This window comes from Homo sapiens, chromosome 3 (assembly GCF_000001405.40).
Source record: "Homo sapiens chromosome 3, GRCh38.p14 Primary Assembly".
In the NCBI taxonomy this organism is placed as follows: Eukaryota; Metazoa; Chordata; class Mammalia; order Primates; family Hominidae; genus Homo; species Homo sapiens.
The window spans coordinates 130,922,793-130,947,504 of NC_000003.12; the positions used below are offsets into that span (position 1 = coordinate 130,922,793).

Sequence of the window (24,712 nt, forward strand, 5' to 3'; positions counted from 1 at the left end):
AGTTTTATTCCACTGTGGTCAGAGAGGATACTTCATATAATTTCAGTTTTCATAAATTTATTGAGTCTTGTTTAATGGCGTATCATATGGCCTGTCTTGGAGAATGTTCCATCTGCTGGTGAAAAGAATGTATATTCTGCAATTGTTGGGTAGAATGTTCTGTAAATATCTGTTAAGTCTATTTGTTGTAGGGTATAGTCTTAAGTCCATTGTTTCTTTCTTGACTTTCTGTCTTGGTGACCTGTCTAGTGTTGTCAGTGGATTATTGAAGTTCCCTCACTATTATTGTGTTGCCGTCTGTCTCATTTCTTAGGCATAGTAGTAATTGTTTTATAAATTTGGGAGCTTCAATGTTAGGTGCATATATATTTAGGATTGCCACATTTTCCTGTTGTACTAGTCCTTTTATCGTTATATAATATCCCTCTTTGTCTTTCTTTTTTTTTTTGTTGGAGACAGAGTCTTGCTCTGTTACCCAGGCTGGAGTGTAGTGGTGCGACCTTGGCACACTGCAACCTCTGCCTCCCAGGTTCAAGCAATTCTCCTGCCTCAGCCTCCCGAGTAGCTGGGATTACAGGCACACACCACCATGCCTGGCTAATTTTTTGTATTTTTAGTAGAAACGAGTTTTCACCATGCTGGTCTCGAACTCCTGCCCTTATGATCCACCTGTGTCAGCCTTCCAAAGTGCTGGGGTTACAGGCGTGAGCCACCACACCTGGCCTCCTTTGTCCTTTTTTAACTGTTGTTGCTTTGAAGTCTAGTTTGTCTGATATAAGAATAACTACTTCTAGGCCGGAAGTGGTGGCTCACACCTGTAATCCTAGCACTTTGGGAGGCATAGGTGGGTGGATTGCTTGAGGTCAGGAGTTCAAGACTAGCCTTGCAAACATGGTGAAACCATGTCTCTACTAAAATACAAAAATTAGCCAGGTGTGGTGGCTCACGCCTGTAATCCCAGCTACTTGGGAGGCTGAGGTGGGAGAATAGCTGAACCCAGGAGGTGAAGGTTGTAGGGAGTCTAGATTGCATACTGCTCTCTAACCTGGGTGATGAAGTGAGACTCTGTCTCAAAAAAAAAAAAAAAAAAAGGATAACTACCTTTGCTTGCTTTTGGTTTCCATTTTCATGGAATATCTTTTTCCATCCCTTTATCTTATGTGAGTCCTTCTGTGTTAGGTGAGTCTCTTGATGACAGCAGATCCTTGGTTCGTGGATTTTTATCCATTCTTCCATTCTGTATCTTTTAAGTGGAGTATTTAGGCCATTTATATTCAACGTGAGTATTTAGATGTGAGGTACTGTTGTTTTCATCATGCTAGTTGTTGCCTTAATCCCTTAGTTTTTTGTTTTTGTTTTTTTTTTTCATTGCATCATTGTTATATAGGCCCTGTGAGATATATGCTTTAAGGAAGTTCCATTTTGGTGTATTTTGAGGTTTTGTTTCAAGATTTAGAACTTGTGGTGCTGGTTTGGTAGTGGCAAATTCTCCCAGCATTTGTTTGTCTGATAAAGACTTTATCTCTCCTTCATTTATGAAGCTTAGTTTTGCTGGATACAAAATTCTTGGCTGATAATTGTTTTGTTGAAGGAGGCTAAATATAGGACCCCAGTCCCTTCTAGCTTGTAGGGTTTCTGCTGAAAGATACACTGTTAATCTGATAGGTTTTTCTTTATAGGTTACCTGATACTTTTGCCCCACAGCTCTTAAGATTCTTTCCTTCATCTTGACTTTAGGTAATGATGACTATGTGCCTGGGCCATCTTTTTATGATGAATTTCCCAGGTATTTTTGAGCCTCTTGAGATTTGGATGTCTAGATCTCTAGCAAGACCGGGGAAGTTTTCCTTGATTATTTCCTGAAATATGTTTTCCAAACTTTCAAATTTCTTTTCTTCCTCAGGAACACGAATTATTTTTAGCTTTGGATGTTTAACGTAGACCCAGCCTTCACGGATGCTTTGTTTATTTTTTTTAAAATAATTTTTCTTTATCTTGGCAGATTGGGTTAATTCGAAAGCATTGTCTTCTGTCTCTGAAGTTCTTTCTTCTGCTTGTTCGATTCTATTGCTGAGACTTCCCAGTGCGTTTGGCATTTCTCTAAGTGTGTCCTTGATTTCCAGAAGTTGTGGTTGTTTTTTATTTATGCTATATATTTCACTGAAGAATTTTCCTTTTATATCCTGTATCATGTTTTTGATTTCTTTAAGTTGGACTTCAGCTTTCTCTGGTGCCTCCTTTGATTAGCTTAATAATTGACCTTCTAAATTCTTTTTCTGGCAATTCAGAGAGTTCGTCTTTGTTCGGATCCATTGCTGATGAGCTGGTACGATCTTTTGGTGGTGTTAAAGAACCTTGTTTTGTCATATTACCAGAATTGTTTTTCTGGTTCCTTCTCATTTGGGTAGACTATGTCAGAGGGAAGATCTGGGATTCAAGGGCTGCTTTTCAGATTCTTTTGTCCCATGGGGTTCTCCCTTGATGTGGTGTTCTCCCCTTTCCCCTAGGAATGGGGCTTCCTGAGTGCCAAACTGTAGTGATTGTTTTTGCTCTTCTGGGTCTAGCCACCCAGTCGAGCTACCAGGTGCCAGGCTAGTACTGGCGAGTGTCTGTAAAGAGTCCTATGATGTGATCCGTTTTCAGGTCTTGCAGCTGTGGATACTAGTACCTGCTCTGGTGGAGGTAGCTGGGGAGTGAAGTAGACTCTGTGAGGGTCCTTGGTTGTGTTTTTGTTTAGTGTGCTGGTTTTGTGTTGGTTGTCCTCCAGCTGGGAGTTGGCACTTTCAAGAGCATATCAGCTGTGGTGCTACAGGGAGGATGCACATTTGCCCTAGAGACACTTGGTCAAGTATTCAGGTTTCTCAGGCAGTGAGCAGGCCCATAGAGCTCCCAAGAGATTATGACCTTTGTCTTTGGCTACCAGGATGGCTAGAGAAAGACTACGAGGTGGGGGCAGGAATAGGGGTGTCTCAGCCTCTCCTTGGGTGAGCTTGCTGCAGCTGCTGTTGCGGGGGGTGGGGTGAGGGTGTGGTTCCCAGTCCAGTGGAGTTATAGTCCCAGGGGGATTGTGGCTGCCTCTGCTGAGTCATACAGGCCACCAGGGAAGTGGGGGAAAGCTGGCAGTCACAGACCTTACCTTGCTTCCATGCAACCTGTGGTCTTAAAGGCTGGTCTCACTTCCATCATGCCTCCCCAACATCACCAAGTCTTTTTCCAGGTAGCCGGTTACCAGGGTGGATACTTTGCCCCAGACCACAAGCCTCCCCCTTGAGAAAGCAAATGGACTCATAGTTTTTAGGCCTCCCAGAGAACCTGCAGTGGTGATCCAATTTCTTCAAAGGGTCTGTGGATTCTCTTGGCTTTCCTGGTTTGTTCCTGTGGTAGTTCTTGTATTGTAGCAAAAGTTCATGATGTGAGTCTCCACATGTTGCTCTGTCTGTCAGAATGGGAGATACAAGCTAGTCCTGCCTCCTATCCACCATCTTAATTTGAGCATCTAGATATAGTTTCGAATAATGTGTATCTACCTACAAAGTTCAGGCATGGAACGAGGCAAATAAAACAAACACAAAAACTGGATAGCAAAACTACTCCAATGAGGAGATAAAGGTTTTCAAAAAGTACTTGAACTGGAAAGCCTAGGTGATACTAAAACATTAAATAAAATAGTATATCCAAGACCCAGTATGTGTTAATATATGGGATAACCAGATCGTTTTAACTGCTCTGGCTAATCCTCATTTCTATAAATATGTAGACAAAACTAGCACTGCTGTATGGTAATAACTACCAGTATACTGCTTTGTCCTTTAAAATGTGTCTGCCATACTAGGCTCAAACTATTAAACCAAGTTTTTCTACTAAGGCTAGGAATGTCACATGTATGCAGGGATGAGAACCTTATCACACACACTCACGCTCACATACCAGGTCTCTCAGCCCTTGGGCGTCGCCTTCCAACTCCATGTGTATTTTATGCATGTGATCTTTATATGTGTTCTTTCGCTGTTTTCCTATCATGTGAAACACATTAAACATCTCAACACATTTGCGCCTGGTTTTGGTTGCCCAGTAGTATTCTTGTGTGCAATGAAACCAGTGAGCAAGTACACATAGTAGGAATTATACCATCTTGGTAGAAAACAGCTATATAAACACGGATGTACATATTTCACTGGAAATCTCAAGGACCCACCTCTTCAGTCTGTAGCAGAAGTCTGCTTGCCACATCAGATCCTTTTACCCTTCACCTCTATTCTTGGACCCCAAAGCAGGGCCAGTGCTTTTAGTTTTGTATCTGGTGTCCTCAAAATGAATATGGAAAGTTCATAAACACTATATAAGTACTATGTGAATCTGGTTGAAAACAGGTAAAACAACAAACCTACATATACTAACTGGTAGTTAAATTTATTTCACAAGAAAACCATCTTTAAGATTTTTTTTTTAACTTTTTTTTTTTTTTTGAGACAGAGTCTCGCTCTGTCGCCCAGGCTGGAGTGCAGTGGCGTGATCTCAGCTCACTGCAAGCTCTGCCTCCCGGGTTCATGCCATTCTCCTGCCTCAGCTTCCTGAGTAGCTGTGACTACCGGCGCCTGCCACCATGCCTGGCTAATTTTTTGTATTTTTTAGTAGAGACGGGGTTTCATTATGTTAGCCAGGATGGTCTCGATCTCCTGACCTTGTGAACCGCCCGCTTCAGCCTCCCAAAGTGCTGGGATTACAGGCGTGAACCACCATGCCCGGCCTTTTTAACTTTTTAAAATAGAGAAAACAGTATATTCCTTGGGGAAAGATGAAGGATTGAGAAAACCAGCTCTGGGTAAAAATTATTATGACTGCACCTGGAGTTGATTAGGCCTGCCTAGGAAAGAAACAGGCAACTGCTATATGACCACAGGGGACAGCCACCATCTGAGTCTCAGCAGACTAGTTCACACGCCATGCAATGTTGCTGTATATTCAAATTGTAAAAATCATCTAGCTTATCATGAAACAAGCTGCATTTATCATCAGAGACTGTCAGGTCATCATCTCCACCTGCAGACAGAGCTTAAGCAGCATCTCACCTATCTCAAAGATGACAGACTCTTGTCACTGTTGTCAAAGGGGTTGCTGTTCTGTTTCCTCAGTGAGCTCCCAGAGTTGGTTCCTTCCTTGGGCCCTGTATCTGTTTATGTTCCCATTTTCTGTCTCTGGCTCCTTTTACCACCATCAGGGTAGGCAGACTTGGAACAATTCTCTCCAAATGGGCAGCTTCCATGTTCTTCGTTAAAATACCTACATGCCTTATCACTCTTCATCTCCTTGTATTCCTGAAATGAGTTTCTGCTACCTTCTACTCCACGCAGTACTCATGTGGAATGACAAAGTTAAATATGGCCTGGCATTCTGGGATGGACTTTACCATCTTGCTTTTCTGTTGCTTAGTACTCCTCCACTTGTGAACACACTTGAGGTGCAGGTGTGGTTGCAGCTGGAGAGCATCTCAAAGCAGCCCTTTATATATTTAGAGAGTATCATGCCCCTTTAGTGTTTTATTGTTTATTATATGAAATAATACCGTTTCCTACTCTGGAGATTTACAGCTACTTTGAGCCCATGGAATACCCCCAAAGGGTTTTATGTAAAGTGTGTTCAAATGTAGACCCTATCTATATACCAACTACCAAAGGATTAGTTGAGAAACATTTTATGAGTAAGGCTGTCATATTGCATGCTGGGTACTAGAGTTAGCAATTTCCAATATATTATTGATAGAAAAGTAAACATTAATAGGAAATTATCATGAACTGACTTTACTCACCTTGTTTAGTCTGTATTGACCTTGTTGGAAGAAAAGTATTAATAGCTGTCATTTGAGCTCTTACTAGTGGTAAGTCAAATGCTGTGTTAGTGTATTTAATCCTCAAACATCTCTGTTTAGCCATATTATCCCCAGGTTATATATATGAAGAAGATGAGGTTTGGGGATCTTAGAAATAAGAGATTTTATTGATCTGTCACTGCAGGCAGTGTAAATATATTTGATTCTTCTTAATTTTGCTTTATGATCTCACAAGATGAAATAACTATGTCATCTATTTCAATTCTCATTGTTTTAAGATTTAAATCATTTTGGGGGGAATCTTCTCCAATGTTTTACTTAGGAACGGTTCAATGAAGTCTTTCCCCTGTCCTAGTTTGTTTTATAGATTTGAAATAAGGGCATTTCAGTGGCTCTAAAACATGTGTGTAGCTTTTGTAAAATTCCTAATCTTTTCTCTAAGTTTTTACATTTCTTAATTATGTAAAAATATTATGCTATAAAATAATTTCAGTAATTTGCAGTAAAGAAAGGTAATCTGTCTCTAGTTTCCTCATATTTATTCACCGATATCTCCTCATTAAAAGTTGAAAAATACTACTGCTCTTTGTTTTAAAGTATTTAAACGTCCAACTGTACTTTTTACATAAATAAGATTAGAAAACATGAATTTGATTGTTCCAGAAACTCAGTCATACTGAGAGAAGACTTTTTTTCCTCAGCAATTTACTATTTTTTGGAGTAAATGCAAAAAGCCTTTATGTGTGCAGGCCTCTGTAATGACACTCTAATGTAGTAGAATCTTCTTTGATTTCATTTGCTTAAAGATACTGCTTTAAAAGTTTTAGGGAAATATTTTATCCTAAAAATGTTAATTATCCAAGGTTGAAAAGATCTTACCTGACAGCTTAAAAACTTGTATCTGGGCAGTAAGATGATAATTTTAGTTTCAGTATTATTTTAATTGAGTGGATGTGTGGCAATTCAAGTGTTTTCGTCTCTTAAGTTTCAGTAGTGGGCAGCTTTTGTCTCCCTTCTGTTTTCACTCAAAGCATTTTGTCTGTAAAGAATCTCAGCTTAGGACTCAAAACAAGTCTGTGTTGAGGATTTATTTCTAGAGTTGTGTTAAACAGTTTTCTGTAGCTATAGATAATTACTTATGAAGCTGCATCAAGTACGTACCTTGATTACTACTATCTCGTGACTAACTGCTTGTTCACAGCCTTCCCCACCCTTCCCACCAGCTCCCCTTCACTAACCTGTGCATCCTTTGCTTGTCTGGTCTCTTTTACTTCTTGTTTTTCTCCTAGTTTGTGAATAGCTCTTAAAGTCTGACTTGTTGTCATGGTGCGTTGAAAGAGTAGCCAGTTGTCTTTTCTGGGTAGATCAGCTATGAGCTGACTGACTAAGAGGAGTAGTTAAAATGGAGAAAGCTTAGCTGTACTTTGTCTTGCATGTTAAACGTAATGAGTTTAGAGGATTATGATTATTTGTAATCATCAGGATCTGCTAGACAGGACATCTGTTTTACTTTTTACTCTTATGTTGGTGGAGAAATAGCGTGCTTTTCATTCAATGTGAAAATTTTGTGTTCTAGCTGGGCACCGATGGCTTAGTTTTTGAAATGTAATTTCTTGAGAAGTAGCATGTGGTTAGTATAAAATTGTCTTTCCTATTAGGACTAGCTACGTAATTAGTCTGAAATATTTTTCTAACTGGAAAATTAGTTGCTGTGAACTTTTGGATTTTTATTATTCTAGACTGCATTACACTTGTTTGCTATATTCAAATATTTTTTCTTTGGTTTTACTTCCTAGGTTGCACGTTTTCAAAAAATACCTAATGGTGAAAATGAGACAATGATTCCTGTATTGACATCAAAAAAAGCAAGTGAATTACCAGTCAGTGAAGTTGCAAGCATTCTCCAAGTAAGTGGTTAGTGGGGAGGAAGGGACTAGATGGTGTAAAGTCAGTCACTTAGACTCTATAAAACAGTGCTGTCTAATTTACTTTTCTTCAGTGATAGAAATATTCTGTTCTGTGCCATTCAGCATAGTAGCCACAAGTTGAACAGGACTGTTGAGCTTGACATGGGGTTAAACTTGACAGAATTAAACATGACTATATGACTTGAAATGTGGCTAGTGTGATGGAGAAACTGACTTTAATTTAATTTAAATTTATTTAAATAACTACAGGTGGCTTAGTGGCTACCTGATTGGACAGTGCAGCTCTAGAACATAATAGCTTTTCTAGGAACTATATTAGTGCTGTGTAAGGATTGGTTGGATTAGGAAAATAATTAACGTAAGTAGTGGTAGGAGTTTATCTTTTTTTGATAAGGGTTTTCTAAGGTAAAGTAAAAACTTAAGTACAAGTTTAGAATTGCAGATAATCTGTAATTGCTTATGTAGGCTCTTCCTGGTTTTCAAAAGTAGTATCTATCGAAACATGAAAAAGATAATATTTTTTATTTTTCCTTCAGCAGTCACATATCTTAGTGATAGCATTAAAAACATGGGTATCCTTTTTTAGGTTTTTGTTGTTGTTGTTATTGTATTTATACTCTGCTTTAAAACCACTTATTTGTAATATGTTTGTTTTGAAAGGCTCCTTTATTGGACTCTATTATAATAACCTTTTGGTCAGGGCAACTATTTTGGGGGTACAGATAATTTTATTCTTTAATAGTTAGAATACTAAATCATGAGAGAGAATAACTGAAGGATGTAGGTAGTGTTTATAGAACATAAACTGTTCCAAGAAGAAGTTCATCTGAACTTCACTGCTTTTGAGTAATTTAGGAAGCACAAAATTTGAGCATGAAATAATTACACAGTCCAAGAGTATAAATTAATACCAACCCCAGGGTTTTGATAGGCCCAGAGAACAAGGAAGACATTTATGGCCCATTGAACGTTCTTTGGGAGAAACTAATTTTAGAAAATGGCGAAACAACAATGAAAAGGAAAAAGCTAATTAAAATGTACTGTTATGCTTTCTGTAAGTCTTGTGGCTGATTGTGTTATTTTTCTCCCTAAATTTTGTTTGTTTGGTAAACTCTGCCTTTTTGTTTACATTTTTTTTAAAAAATCAATTTTGTTGAGATATAATTCACATAAAATACAATGTACTTTTTAAAAGTGTACAATTTGCATTTTGACAAATGTAATCACCACCACCATTAAGATAGAACATTTTTATCACTCCAGAAAGCTCCCCCATGTCCCTTTGTAATTAATCCCTCCCTCTCTATGTGTCACTTCTGGTCCCAGGCAACCACTGATAGGTTGCTCTCATAATAGACTAGTTTTGACTGTTGTAGTTTCTGTAAATGTGATAATACATTATATTATGTGCTTTTTTGTGTTTTTCTTTTCTGTGCTAACATTTTCAATAACTTTCATGTATAAACTCTAATAGGCTGATCTTCAGAATGGTCTAAACAAATGTGAAGTTAGTCATAGGCGAGCCTTTCATGGCTGGAATGAGTTTGATATTAGTGAAGATGAGCCACTGTGGAAGAAGTATATTTCTCAGGTGAGATACTTTTACTTCCTCTTCTACTGTGTAATTTATTAATACATGGACTTCTGTTATGTAGTTGCTTACTTTTGTGATACTGTTTATGGAGAAAGGAAATAATTTTTAGATGTTTTTTACCTAAAATTTTTCATTTGTTGGGGCTTACTGTTAGGTTGGAATTCCTGTATTTTTAGTATGTAAATCTTAAAGACAACATTTTCCATATGGGTATATTACACAAAGATAATACTGTTGACAGTAGTGTCCTTTGCTGATATCAAACCTACACTATTTAAATGATAGGACTGGCAATATTTTTTAAGGTAATCATGGCCAGCTCAGAAAACTAGTAAAAAGTAAGTTAGGTAAGTTAAACTCAGGCTGCCTGGGTACAAATTACACCTTCATTTCTTACCAGTTGTGTCATCTTTATTATCCTCTGAGCCTTATCTATAAAATGGTGATGATAACCTTACGGGAGATAGTTAGCTCTCAGTAGATGATAGTTATTTATATTTTTTCATCCTAAATTTTAGGAAAGACTTATTCTAGACTGCTTTTATCTTGATAACGATTGTGTTAATGTAAAAAGTTACAGGTTACTATGATTAGTTTTGAAGTAATTAGGTTGGTTTGCTAAACAAATATTTTTTGCTAAAAACTTCTTTTTAGTAAATGTCTGTGCCTTTTAACCTGCGGTCTTTCTAAAACGATCTATGTTTAACTTTTCTAAAGTGCCTTTTCTGCTAATGAGCTTAAATTTGCCAGGCTTAATTTTGCGAATGAGTTTGTCTAAAGTAGCAACACTGGAATTTTAAAGGTTGGATGAACCTTGTGTGTATATGTCTTATTTTTATGGAATATTATTTATATGTGTCTTTGTATTTTCATACTTACCACATTCCCACATTACCAAAGACTTCAGAAAGCATTAACATAGTTTACTCTGGATTTATAAATTGTAATGATTTGACTTATCCCTAGGCAGTATGATTTAATGTTTTACTTTCTTGATCCTGTTACCAAAGCTAGAGCACCTGCCCCTTGGGATTCCTGTGAGAATTAAATAGTGCCTGTAATGTAGTTAAGCACAACTAAACAAATAACAGTAAATAGTAATCGTAATCACAAAGCACTGGGTGATTCTTTATTCCTCTGCAGCCTGCCATCCATCAAGTGGTGTGCTTAGTAATGTGGCACAGCTTTTTTAGGGGAAAATAAAAAAGATCATGGGTCTTGCCCTCAAAGTGTGACGTTAATAGCTAACATTTTTAAGAACTTTTTTTGGTTTACACGGTGCTTTAATGTACATTCTTAGTTAATCCTTATAACAGTTCTTTGGTATAAGGTTCTGTTTTACCAGATGAAGAATCTGGAGCTTAAAAAGATTAAGGTGACACACAGATGCCAGCAACTGGATTCAAACCTAGGTACTCTGACTCAGTCAGGTTTGTGGTTGGTCAGCCCTGAACCATATTGCAGTTGCAGTGTTATTTTATTAGGGCAGTTTAACTTATTATTTTTTAAAAATCCTCGTTAGAATCACTTGGGGAGTGCTTAAAAAATGCTAAAGCCTGGGCCTTATGCCTAAAGATTTTGATTTAATTAACTTGGTGTGAATCTGGGCATTGGTATTGTTAAAAGTTTCTTATAGGATTCCGATGTGAAGAAGGATTGGGACTTGTTCCAGGGAATGGAACCATAAAGGGGCTTTGGAGGTGGTGGCATGTAACCTCAGAGCTATGGTATCTAAGGGCTGGGGCTTTCTGGTGGGATGGATTCTTTTTAGCCTAATTACTTTGCAACTTTGACAGTGATGTAACACTTTAGCAGAGGAAGAGATTCTAACATCAGAGTTTCAAGGAATAGAATGTCCAACTGGAAGAATTTGGGGTTGACTCTGGTGTGAGGTCATTTAAATGCTTTCTGATCAGGTTGATGCTATAGTCCTGTTTCTTTGATATGATTTGCTGTGGTAGATAGAAACCAGGAAAGCTAGCCTTGAGGAAAATCTTCAGTTTCTTTTGTGGAGAGGAGGGAATTTTTCTGTGATATGTGAGTCAACCACAGAATTGTAATCTACACCATTGTACTTGAGAAATGTTTGAATCTCAGTGTTCTATTCAGTATTTCGCCCAAATTTTTAGCTTAAAAATCATCTTCTCCTGCTTTTTCTAGCCTCAGTAGAAATTCAGAACAGCTGTATTTCTTAAATTAATATACCAAAAATTGCTGTATACTATAAGGAATTGGTTAATTCTTAGTTTTAAGTATTGCTATTTAATTTTTTTTTTCTGAAAAGGAACTGTTAAAAAGCTTTTAAATGTAGTTAAGTATAAACGCTTTTTTTGTTAATTGAAGAGATACATAAAATAAACTGAGTATAGACTTTTGTAATTTTCCAGTCATGCTCTTATGGTTTTTTTTTTTTAAAGCCTTTGCTGAGAGAACTGTCATGTACAAAACTGTGTTGAATTGCTGTTTGTTTTTACTTTCAGTTTAAAAATCCCCTTATTATGCTGCTTCTGGCTTCTGCAGTCATCAGTGTTTTAATGCATCAGTTTGATGATGCCGTCAGTATCACTGTGGTAAGAAAAAAATTACATATTTTTAATCTGTTGAGTAAGTGTATAAATTGGGATTGGTTTTTATTTTGGAAAATAAATTGAGAAGTGCTCTCAGATTTTTTTCAGTGTCCAAATTCTGCTTTTATTTTATTCTTTTTGTTGCGACAGTTTCTTGTTGTATTGCCCAGGCTAGAGTGCAGTGGTATAGTCATGACTCACTGCAGCCCCGAACTCCTGGGCTCAAGCTGTTTTCTGCCTCAGCATCCTGAGTAGTTGGGACTACAGGTGTATGCTAACACCCCCAGCAATTTTAAAATTTTTTTGTAAAGACAGGGTCTTGTTATGTTGCCCAGGCTGGTCTTAAACTCCTGGCTTCAAGTGATTCTCCCACCTTGACCTCCCCAAAGTGTCGAAATTACAGGTGTGAGCCACTGTGCCTGGCTCAAATTCTGCTTTTATTATAGTTACAGTAATTTTGAGTAATGTTCAAAAGTCCATGATTAGCACACATGAAAATTCTTTAACTGGTAATTTTCACAAATATGAAATTTTATAATTATCTGATTAAATTTTAAATTTATTTCACTTTGCAGTTGAGAATATATTTTGACTAGTTGTGAACTAAAGCCTGACATGTGAAATTAAAAATATTCCTTATAGTGCATGCTGTATTTACAGCATACATTTACTATATATGATTTTATTCTTTCCAGCTAGGTTATTCTAGCTTTCATTGAACTGTTTTCTCATCTTTTTCCTTCTTGCTCCATTTCATTTTTGTATAAAAAATTTGTAGCAAGTAAAAGCACTTATGCTTAAGAACACTGTAGATGTTATTGTAGAGATGCAGCTCTTGAACTATTGCTTGCAGTATCCCAGGTATCCCTGAGACCTGTTCAAGGGGTATGTGAGGTCACAACCATTTTAATAATACTAAAACATTATTTGTCTTTCAATTATAGACTTTTGGCATTAATGGCACAAAAACAATGGCAGGTGAAACTGTTAGAGCCTTAGCACAATTCAGAGTAATGGCACCCAACTTTGTTAACAGTCATTGTTTTCTTTCATGTTTCTTAAGAATGTTCTTGATAAAGCAGTAAAAATTAATTTTATTAAATCTGGACCCTTGAGTACATACCTTCATAATAATTTATGTAATGAAATGGGAAGTATGCATGAAACTCTTTTGTATATTGAAATACAATGGTTGTCTCAAGGAAGGGTGATGATTGTGAGGCAAACTAGCCTTGTACTTGAAAGACTGACTCATAGACAAACTATGGGTGTTAGGACTTGGGTAACCAGCAGATTCTTATTTTTGAAAGTGAATTAAATGAGCGAATCAGACCAAGGAAAGGCAACTGGCAGAATTTGTTGCTAATGATAAAATTCAGGTTTTCAAGCAATAATTAGGGTTTTGGAAAATTTGTATGCACTCTTATGGGCTGGATAGCATCCCAGTATTTAAGACTTTATTCCAATTAGATCAGTAGTGATTTCAACAAATGTGTGTTTTTTTTAAAAAAAAAATTGTTACGAAATGTGGTAACCTTGGGGAAGATTTGGGCAATCTTGGGGAAGATTTGAATAACCAAGTGAACCAATATTTCCCAGAAGACCAATGCGTGACATTACAAAATCTGAAATGGTAAAAGATCCATTCAAATGCAAGATAGGTCAATGGATTTCGATATAATAGATTATGAAAGGTGCATTGATACAGTTTTATATTCTACATTGCAGATTACCTTTAAGTAACTAGCACTTGAGTTTTGGTGTAGTAGCTAAGAAGAATATCCACAATCATCTGAAAAAGCTGTTAAAATACTCCTCCCTAGGCTGGGCATGGTGGCTCATGCCTGTAATCCCAGCACTTTGGGAGGCTGAGGCGGGTGGATCATGAGGTCAGGAGATTGAGACCATCCTGGCTAACATGGTGAAACCCCGTCTCTACTAAAAATACAAAAAAAAAAATTAGCTGGGCGTGGTGGTGGGCACCTGTAGTCCCAGCTACTCGGGAGGCTGAGGCAGGAGAATGGCGTGAACCCCGGAGGCGGAGCTTGCAGTGAGCTGAGATCACGCCCCTGCACACCAGCCTGGGCAATAGAGCAAGACTCTGTCTCAAAAAAAAAAAAAAAAAAAACTCCTCCCTAAAAAAAATAAAAAAGAAAAAATGCTCCTCCCTTTTCCACCGTATCTGTATGGGGCTGGATTTTCTTCATACACTTTAGCCTGAACAATATGTTATAGTAAATGGAATACTAGCTTTCTAGAAAGTCATATATTAAAATATAAAAATTTAAAACACTGCTATTTTTCTCACAATTTTTTTGGAAAATTTATTTTTCATAAAGTTATTTGTGTTAGCATGTAATGAGGTTTAAAATTTTTTACATGAGTTGATGAGTAGAAATTAAAACTGACTAGTTGAAAAATTTGATATGGTAAATATCAGTATATATAACCCACTTAAAAGCTGGTCCTCAATTTGTGAGAGCATAAAAGGGCCCTGAGATCAAAAAGTTAGAGAAGCTGCCCTGGTAATGGCAAGCCACTGTAAACTGTTAGCTTCTTTCCCCACAGGCCTTAAGGTAAAGTTGTGATTTCTTTTCCAGCTGATCTCAGTGTTTAAAATCTGTTATTGTGGGACTGCAGATAGTTAGAAAAATAAAATACAGTTAACAGTTACTTCTCAAGTTAATGTCTGATTTAAAAGCCTGTTTCTTTTGTTTAGGCAATACTTATCGTTGTTACAGTTGCCTTTGTTCAGGTAAGTACTCTATTTTGCCAACATGAAAATGGTATGTTAATTGCTTAAAAATCAAGGTGTCTTGTGGTAGAACCTACCGTTATTGGGGGGTTGTAATGCCCATCAGAACAACTTATTCTTTGTTTTTCAAGTAATTTCAGATACAGACAACTCTTCAGGGAAGCTTGTGGTGTGGGACTAAGGAACTGCTTTGATTTAGGTAGTGAGATGAAGAAAATCTAGTTTTTTATTTGATAATGTTAAGGATAACTGAAGCAGATGGAAACAAAAAGCATAGTAATAGAAATAAAATCCAGCAGTAAACTTTTTTATTTTTTCAATTAAAAAATTGGACCAGAGTTTATAGTTTCATAACACTGTTATGTTTTAATGCCTACTAGAGCTAAGTCTAGATGAAACAAAAAAGTATAGAATTAAAAGGTCGATCTGTGATGTACCATTTGAAGAAAATTCCACAGGTTTCTGTGACTGATTCCCTTAGCCAAATGCTACACTTGTTTGCTGAATTTATCACTTAACCTTATTTTATTTGAGTCTGTTTTGAGGAATTAAAATGGTTCTACTCATTGTTGGCATGACCTCCTCTCCCCTCCCTTTAAAACAATTTCTCATTCCTCCACAAAAGGGGTGTTGTGATCTGAATCAAAGTAATTCAAACAGTAAATAAAACATATGTAAAGTAGCCCCTTTTAAAAATTACTATGAATAATGTGGAGATACTGTCAAGATTTCTATTAATAAGTACAGACAAATAAAAATGTAGGCTTAGTTTTATGTTTATTTAAATATCTGAAACTTCTGTAGATTTTAGAACAGTGTTTCACAATATCAGCAGATTTCCTTTTTAGCTAGAACATGGTTAACAAGAATAGAATTATTCTAGCTTAGAGAAAAATGTAATATTGTTGCATAAGCCTGAAGTTCGTGCTGTTTTGAATCTGAAGCCTATACTTTGAATAACTATGGTTGTTCTTACATCTACGATTTATTACGTGGGTATTTCTTGTCACTATCCCAGCCTCTTAAGGTAATCTCTAACCTAGTTGTTATTAGTTCTGTAGTAACCCAGTGTAGAAAGCCAGTTGGAATCAGATCATTTGCAGTAGGTTTGTGAGCTCCATTAGTAGACTATCAGGGTTCCGCTTTTAGGGGAATCTTCTTGCTTAGACAAATGTTGCCCATGGTCAGGTGGAGCTGGTTAGTCTAGCATAGGTCATGTCAGGCTAACCATTATTCAAGGCAGCTATTCATTCAGCCAAGTGAGTGATATGACCCACTGGACCACTAACTGGACCTTCTTGCGTCTTTAAGAATGTGTCAGATATGTGGAGTGCCCTACTTCAGAAGGATTCCTGCAAATAGTATCACTATGTATGGAAGACCTTAGTACCTTGTTCTCTTTGATCACTAGAAAGCCCATGTTTTCAAAAAACACCACAAAATTGTGATTTTAACATAAGTCAATATGGAATTTTACACAAGATAGTGTTGTTATACACATTAAATGCTATGGCTGAGACTATTAAATATGTTTATGATAGGTACATTTGATAGAAATCTCACAAAAGGATGAAAACTTTATAAAAAGCCTAGTTTCAAATTGCTAGGTCTGATTCTTACACACATGTGACCCATCACCAAATATGCCTGTGAAACCAACAAAATAGTCTATAAACAAGTAAAAATCCTCTCCAAAAAGATCCTATTTACTGTCAGTTGAACTTATCATAATGCTTTAATCAAAAAGCTCTTTATCAAAAATGTATAAAAAATTCTTAATACTTTATCATTATTTGTTATTTGTGCTATATTACTTGTGTCTTAAGAGGGCTTTTTATATTCCTTTTTATATTTATGTCCTGCCTTTTTTCCGTGTGTCTTTGCAATCCCCATTCCCCACACCACTGTACTTCTTCCCAGCCATAAAAATAGCTAATTGTTTTATATAGTCGTAATGAAGTCACCTTACAATAAATTTGAAAAATGACTTTTAGGCATTTATTAGGTTTTAGGTGGTATGTTTAATGATCATTTTGATATAGAGGTATCTTTATAATTGTAGGGAGTAGAGGCTAAGAAACCAGAAGACATAAGTAAAGATTGGGCAGCATCTATGTCATTTATTACTGGGATCTAGGATTGATGGGTATTTTCTAGCATATTACAGAATTTTTGGGTAAACTTCCAAATTCCTTAATATCCTTCATGTGTTTGGGGTGTTGTCTTATGATTTTTACATTTGTAGATTTTCCTTATATTTGTCACTCTAAGATTAAGTAGAGACTGATTGTGTTCTAAGTTATTCTTACATAGCCTTGTGTTTTCTATTTGAAGTTTGTGATGGATAGGACATTTTGACTAGTACTAGCACTGCAGTCATTTCAAAACATTCCCAACCCTTCTACCTCCACTATTTGCCTCTCCCTCTTTTGACCTTAGATTAGAAGATTCTTTTGCTTACTACAGACATGAGGCAAAAATAGCAGTGATGTGTGATGCAAGACTGCTCATGGAAATGTGGACTAAGTAGTATTGTGAGTTGAAGGATGTTTCTGACTGACCCTCAGCTATTTGTTATCTGGATGGAAGAAGGCTAGAAATCACATTGTTAGAACTCCTGAGAATTTTCCTTTTTGGATACACAGGTTGATGGGAACTGGGTCTGTCAGTATAGAGCCAGCCACATCTTACTCCTTGTTTATCCCATGTTTGTTCTAATGGTTTACTTTGTAAACCATTGCTGTTAGCATGGGCTTAAATTCCTAAAGCAGATGTTGTTTACGGTTAATTATCTTTGACTTCTGTGGTCATTAGACACTTAACATAAGATTATCTAAATTTTAAGGCTCAATGACTTAAAACTTTTAATGACTCAAATTATGTACTCTTTGGACATACTAGTCAGTTTTCATTTTTATTCTAAATAACCTTAGGTTTGTACATTGAATATTAAAATGTAAAACTGGGAATATTTAATTATCAAAATTGATCTCTACATTTAACATTTTAAAATAAGGGACAAGCTTTTCTGGGTAAGAATATAAGCACAAGTAAAGGAAAAGATGAGAATTGGGGGAAATTTTAAAATAATGATTGAGATTAATAAGTCTAAATGGAATATATTCATGGGAGCAAAATTAAATTCTACTTTTTTTTGTTTGAATAGGAATATCGTTCAGAAAAATCTCTTGAAGAATTGAGTAAACTTGTGCCACCAGAATGCCATTGGTATGATCCTTTTTTTGGTATGGATTTCTGCCCCTTTAAAAATAGAAGTTGAATGTGACTAGTACCGTACATATTGTTATCCCCACTTTGTCTGAACATAAGGAAGATACTATTAATCTGACACAAAAAGTTCCTGGTCTCATTAATGTAGCAAAACTGTACCATTGAAAACTTTAAAATCCGAGATTCTAGAGACATGGATGTATTTAACAGATTTTTTTTTTTTTTTTTTTTTTTTTTTTAGATGGAGTCTGGCTCTGTCACCCAGGCTGGAGTGCAGTGGCACAATCTCGGCTCACTGCAAGCTCCATCTGCCGGGTTCACGCCATTTTCTTGCCTCAGCCTCCTGAGTAGCTGGGACTACAGGTGCCTGCCACCACGCCCAGATTATCTTTTGTATTTTTTAGTAGAGACAGGTTTCACCATGTTAGCCAGGATGGTCTCGATCTCCTGACCTCGTGATCTGCCCACCTCGGCCTCCCAAAGTGTTGGGATTACAGGCGTGAGCCACCGCGCCCGGCTGTATTTAACAGTGTGTGTGTGTGTGTGTGTGTGTGTGTGTGTGTGTGTGTGTCTGTGTGTGTGCGCGCACGCGCGCATGCATGCGCGTGTCCATGCGCAAGTGTGTGCTAAGCCCTGTTCTGGGTATAGTGATTCACAATCAAACAGACCCAGGTGATTCAAAAGGTTGCTTCAATTTGCACATTTTACATTTGAACAAATAATTTGTTTTTCAAGTTATTTTCTGTCATCTTGGCATCTTAAGTGTTTAGAAACAGTCTTTTTCTTGGTTCTTATATTTGCCTTTTCCTCAGACAAGCCTACTGGAAATAATTTTTTAAGACAAGTTGCATGAATTTTTTTTTTTTAACCATGGTTGTTTCTATTTCGTGTTACAGTGTGCGTGAAGGAAAATTGGAGCATACACTTGCCCGAGACTTGGTTCCAGGTGATACAGTTTGCCTTTCTGTTGGGGATAGAGTTCCTGCTGACTTACGCTTGTTTGAGGTAAATTTGGGATCTGATTGTAATAAGTGAAAATACGTGGATGTAGATTAAAGGATAAACATTACTAGTTTTAAGGAATTAACACATAGTTGATTTGAACCATTTGGTATTCTACTTTAAAATGTGACATATATAAACTTTTTTTTTTCCTTAAAATGTATCTGTCTCTACTGTAACATCTTTTGAGGTGTTTGTTTAGTGAATCAGCAGATCTTTATAGAAACCTGCATATTAGGGACTGTGGGAGATACAAAGATGATATGACAGAATACTTGTGACTAGGGAACATACTATGTGTACACAAATTACTCACCATAAAATAGAACTCAGTAATTGAGTAAGAGAAGTTCAAAGAATAGGATATAGACATTTAAAGAAGGGAGAGGTTCCACCTGATTTGAATGAGATCAGAATATGCCTCAGACCACATGGCTTTGGCAGTGATAATTGAAGAGTAGTACTGGACAAAGATGGGGAAGACAATGAAGCAACACCATTCAAATCACTATGAACATTCCAGTGTATGAAACTCTGTTGGGACATGGTAAGGGTAGAAAACGTGTGATGGAATCAGATTTCAGAGGCCTTGGATACTAGGCTTAACTTCAGATTTTTTTGGTTAGGAGTTACCTTTTGAGGCTCCTGTGCAGTTGCTAAATAATGTTATCCTTAATCTGGCTACAGTGTGTAGAATAGATTGAAGAACTGGAAAATGGAGATAGGCACCTAGTTTAACAGGCTTTCAAAACCCATTAGTATGCAGGTCTTATCCACCATTGGAATTAAGCTGTTTGTTAACACCTGCAGAGCAGTCAGTCTTTAAATACTATGGCCAAAAGTATGAGTGTTCTCATAGATGCTGTAGAAGGCCTGAAAAACCTTTCAGACTGTAATAAGAACAAACTTGGCTTAATCTTTCAGCAGAGGCCTTTTTTCCAAATATTTGAAATTTATCCTTAGAAAGCTACTGGATTGCTTTAATTGGGTGACTAGGAATAATTGATAATATTGCAAGTGTTACTAATTTTACTTCATTATCCTTTTTCTCGTCTTTGAGGTCTTTTTAATGTTAATTCTTTTCTACTCTTCTTTCCTTCAGTTCCTAATATTTTGCCGATGACAATACCTTGAATTATTCTTCCTCAGAGATTAAGTAGTCTTGTCACTTGGCATAAGTTTTCTTCCCCCTCCCCCAGAAAACCCTAATTTAAATTCATGGAGTTCATGCCATTCTTTATTCTGGGCTGCTGCTCTTCCAGTTGAGAAGCAGAACTTCTCATTGGGATAGTTAGAAGATGGTGTTTCTCATTTGCATGGTTCGAGAAATATAATGATAGAAACTTCAAAACACCATTAATGCTTGCTAAACTATTTTAGGGTTTTCATTTAACTAAGGGTTAATTGACTTGACAGTTAATTATTTCAAAGTTCACATGTAAACAGGAAAGAAAACCTGTCAGTATAGATTAGTATGTATTTTATCTACTCAGCAAATATATATTGAAAACATTGTGAATTTTTTATTTTTGTTTTTGAGATGGAGTCTCACTCTGTTGCCCAGGCTGGAGTGCAGTGGTGCGATCTCAGCTCACTGCAGTCTCCATCTCCTGGGTTCAAGCAATTCTCCTGCCTCAGGCTCCCAATAGCTGAGATTACAGGTGCCTGCCACCACGCCTGGCTAATTTTTTAGTATTTTTAGTAGAGACGGGGTTTGGCTGTGTTGGCCAGGCTGGTTTTGAACTCCTGACCTCAGGTGATCCACCTGCCTCAGCCTCCTAAAGTGCTGGGATTATAGTCGTGAGCCACCGCTCCTGGCCGACATTGTGAATTTAATAAGAATTATAAGCATATGTCTTGTGGAGTAATTTATTAGTTATTATTGTTTTCCCCCTACTTGTTAACTTTGCAAGCACTTCATCAGCACGTTTTATTCTGCAGTACTGTAGTTAGGTTGATTTTGTTCTAGTTAATCCACTTTTACGTATATAGTTGAACATTTTTTATTCTCTCTACCTTAATTCTGCCTTATTTGTTTTGCCTGTTACTTGCTACCCCAAACAGACTTTTGCAACTACTTTGACTGCAGATTGAAATAACTTTCCTTAAAGAGTTGGGGATCTTTTATCCATCTAAATTTAAATGTACTGACTTAGGATATAGACTGATAAAGTCAGTTTCTCTTCTGGACACAGAAGCTGCTAGTTTTTTGAAAGTAAATTGGCTTATTGGAGTTTTGTTGGCTCAGTTTGGCTGTGGTGATCTTTGGATAATTTTGTAAGGCTAGCTGGTCATTTGATACTACTGTATGAAATAAACTGTCATTAGGGTTTAAAGGAACCAGAAAACTCCTTAGTCAGCTTTGGGATATCACTAATTTCTTCCAAAGCACATAGATTTCACTTTAGAGAAAGCAAGTCTGTGAACTTCTGCTATGTAGTTAGTTCTCTTACAGACTAGGCCTAAAGCCACAGTTGCAACTTTAGTGTCATCATTTTGTAACTGTCATAAATTTTAGTGCTTTCAGAGTTTGACTGTAAACTTGCCTGGGTCCTTAGCAGCTTCTTGTTAGCACATTCAGTGACTTGACTGTTGTACAACTTTTATCTGGTACAACTTTTATCTTCATAGGTTGTGTCTTAGCTTGGGTTGCTTTAACAAAATACCATGCCATTTATTTTTCACAGTTACGGAGGCTGGAAGTTCAAGGTCAAGGTCTGGCAGGGTTTGGTTTCTGGTGAGGACTGTTGCTAGCTTGAGATGGCTATCTTCTTGCAGAGTCCTCACATGGCGGAGACAGCAATTTCTCTCTCTTCCTCTTATACGGCCACTAATGGCATCATTAGGACTAGCCTCATGACCGCATCTAACCCTGATTACTTCCCAGGGCCCCATCTCCAAATACTATAACATTGACTGTAGAGCTATATAGCATGTGACTTTTTGGGATACATAGTTAAGACTGTAACAGGTTGAGACTGCCATTTTGTTTATACTTTTTAAAGACTAATATTAATAACTTAAGGAATTGTGTAGTTTTTCCCTTGCCTGTGTCAGGTTTTCAGAAGCCAGTGGTTGAGCCAAGATAGTTTTCCCTTGGTATCCACTGAGGATCGGTCCTAGTAGATCCACAGAGAGCAAAATCCAAAGATGCTCAAGTCCTTTACATACAATTGAGTAGTATTTATATATAACCTCTGCACATTTTTCTGTATACTTTAATTCATCTCTAGATTACTTATAACTCCTAATAAAATATAAATGCTATGTCAACAGTTGTTATACTATATTTTTAAAAGTTCGTATTTTTTTTACTGTTGTATTTTTTTTATTATACTTTCTTTGAATATTTTCCACCTGTGATTGCTTGAATCCACTGCTACAGAGGGAGGACTATAGTTGGTGGCAGTGGCCTTTCCAGCAGGAGCCTGAGAGGCACTGATGGAGCTAGGACAGTAAAACTTAGAGGAATTGAGCTTTGGGCATGTTATTTGTTTTTTTTTCCCCCGAGGGTTTTTATTTTAACTTTTAGTGTTGAGAAGAGGCACCACTGGCCAATTACTTGATGATAACCAATGGATTGGTCGGACAATGACTTTAGATGAAGCAATCTTATTGACTATGTATGCCTGGATAACAGTACATTTTATTTTTATTTTTATTTCATTTATTTATTTTTTATTATTATACTTTGTTTTAGGGTACATGTGCACAACATGCAGGTTTGTTACATATGTATACAAGTGCCATGTTGGTGTGCAGCACCCATTAACTTGTCATTTACATTAGATAATATCTCCTAATGCTGTCCCTCCCCCCTCCCCCCACCCCACGACAGGCCCCGGTGTGTGATGTTTCCAACCCCGTGTCCAAGTGTTCTCATTGTTCAATTCCCACGTATGAGTGAGAACATGTGGTGTTTGGTTTTGGGTCCTTGTGATAGTTTGCTCAGAATGATGGTTTCCAGCTTCATCCATGTCCCTACAAAGGACAAGAACTCATCCTTTTTTATGGCTTCATAGTATTCCCTGCTGTATATGTGCCACATTTTCTTAATCCAGTCTATCATTGAACAGTATGTTTTGCCTTTGTGAAAACACAGCATATTTTTGGTGTTGTTCCAGGTAAAGTCTATATCAATATTTGGATAAAGAACTCTTTGTAAGAAAAAACAGCGTGAGGGTCAGATGGAAAAAGGTTGTGGGTTTTTTTTTTTTTTTGGTCTTTTGAAAATATTTTACTTCTCTCAGCTATAACTTTCTAAGCCGAATAATACATCGCTTGAAATGATAGCAAGATTTTCTTTCATTTGAAGTTCTGAATAAGTCCATTGACACTTTGCTTTGTGGTTCATGTGCTTATAGTTGGCCCCCATCATTTTTTTAAACCTATTTTTGATCTGATGATTTTCTAAATGTATCAGACTTCTTTCAGAGAATTACCACTTGGGCTAGCAACCAAGATTAAGCTGTTTTTATGATACTGGATTATCAGACCATTTTAATCTGGGCAGAAAGGTTAGTTCTATTAGGAGTTAGGGTCTAACTGGGGCCAAGCTCAGGAATTCAAACTTAAGAACACGCCAGTGGGCATTATATTGTGAGCCATTTTTTAATCTCATGAATCCTTGTACTTTGTTATAGTATAGCAGTTTGGCTCAGTGAGTAGTTTCTGGTGTTTTCAGGGCTTGTTCCTTTCTGTTCCCTAGTTCTAAGGAGAAGTAAAAACCAAAGATAATGGGCATCATTGAGCCAGCACAGATATACTTTAGCTACCTGCCACCTGAAGGAGTCAGAAATAATCTCCTTGACTGGAACCCCATGTAGCCATTATGTTCCTATCTGTGAGGCTCACATTCTTGCCCAGTCTGTTGTTAAGACCCGCTAACAAGCAGCTTCCTCCACGTTGGGTAAATCCATTACTGGAGCAATCACTCTGTGTCAAGCATTCTGATTTCCTGAGTTAATAAAATACATGTTCCATTTACTCAATGAAAAAATACTCTGGTAAAACCCAGGTTACAATTCTGATTTGGTTTGGTATGCTTTTTCAAAAAAGAATGTTTTCAAATATTTGATAAAATGTAAGCATGTAGTGATATTTTAAATTTACTTATGTTGGTAATGAAGCTAATTTAGGCAATTGTAATCCATTTCTTAGGAAATCAGTCTGTTATGAAACCATTTTCGCCATTTAGCACATATTTGAAAACCATGTACAGCACATTGTATCAGGCTTCAGGGCTTAGAAGTGAAAAAGACAGTTTGAGCCCTCTCCATTGGCAGACACCAGCTTGCAAACAACTGTGATTCAAAGAATGATATGTGTCTGCTCATGAAATGAATTGACCATGTGAGCCTAGGCAAGCCGCTTGATTTTTTCAGGCCTGTTTTGTCACTGTGACACAGAGTTGCCCTAGAGCAATGCATTCCAACTTCTAATGTGCCTAGGAATCAGCTGGGCTCTGTTTTGGTAGGTGTAGGGTGGGGCCTGAGATTACGCATACTTAACCAGCTCTTAGACCATGCCAAAAGCACTGGTCCATCCACCACATTAAAAAAAAAAATTATTAAAACAGCTTTTTTGAGATATAATGTGCATATCATACAGTTCACACATTTAAGGTGTATCGTTCAGTGGTTTTCAGTATATTCACAGTTGTACACCCATCACTACAGTCTAATTATAGAGCATTTTCATCACTCTCAAAGGAAAACCCTTACCTCTTAGCATTCATTCTGTATTTTCCCTGCCTCTAGCAGCCACTAATCTGCTTGCCACTGAAATACATGTGCCTATTCTGGACAT

General features: G+C 37.0%; 1 protein-coding gene and 1 pseudogene across 21 annotated transcripts in view; one reads left to right on the top strand and one right to left on the bottom strand.

Moving 5' to 3' along the window:
- Positions 1–24,712, top strand: part of ATP2C1 (ATPase secretory pathway Ca2+ transporting 1) — a 166,118-nt gene that overhangs the window by 72,198 nt on the left and 69,208 nt on the right. For 20 of the 21 annotated variants that reach the window (NM_001378511.1, NM_001199180.2, XM_047447960.1 and 17 more), the window contains 6 exons: positions 7,624–7,734; positions 9,230–9,346; positions 11,830–11,919; positions 14,636–14,671; positions 17,838–17,899; positions 18,799–18,907. In NM_001378511.1, coding sequence (NP_001365440.1) covers positions 7,624–7,734; positions 9,230–9,346; positions 11,830–11,919; positions 14,636–14,671; positions 17,838–17,899; positions 18,799–18,907 — 525 coding nt within the window. The remainder of the gene's footprint in view (positions 1–7,623; positions 7,735–9,229; positions 9,347–11,829; positions 11,920–14,635; positions 14,672–17,837; positions 17,900–18,798; positions 18,908–24,712) is intronic. The other variant, NM_001199182.2, reaches the window with a different exon arrangement.
- On the bottom strand, positions 4,958–5,493 carry LOC100420298 (makorin ring finger protein 1 pseudogene; annotated as a pseudogene).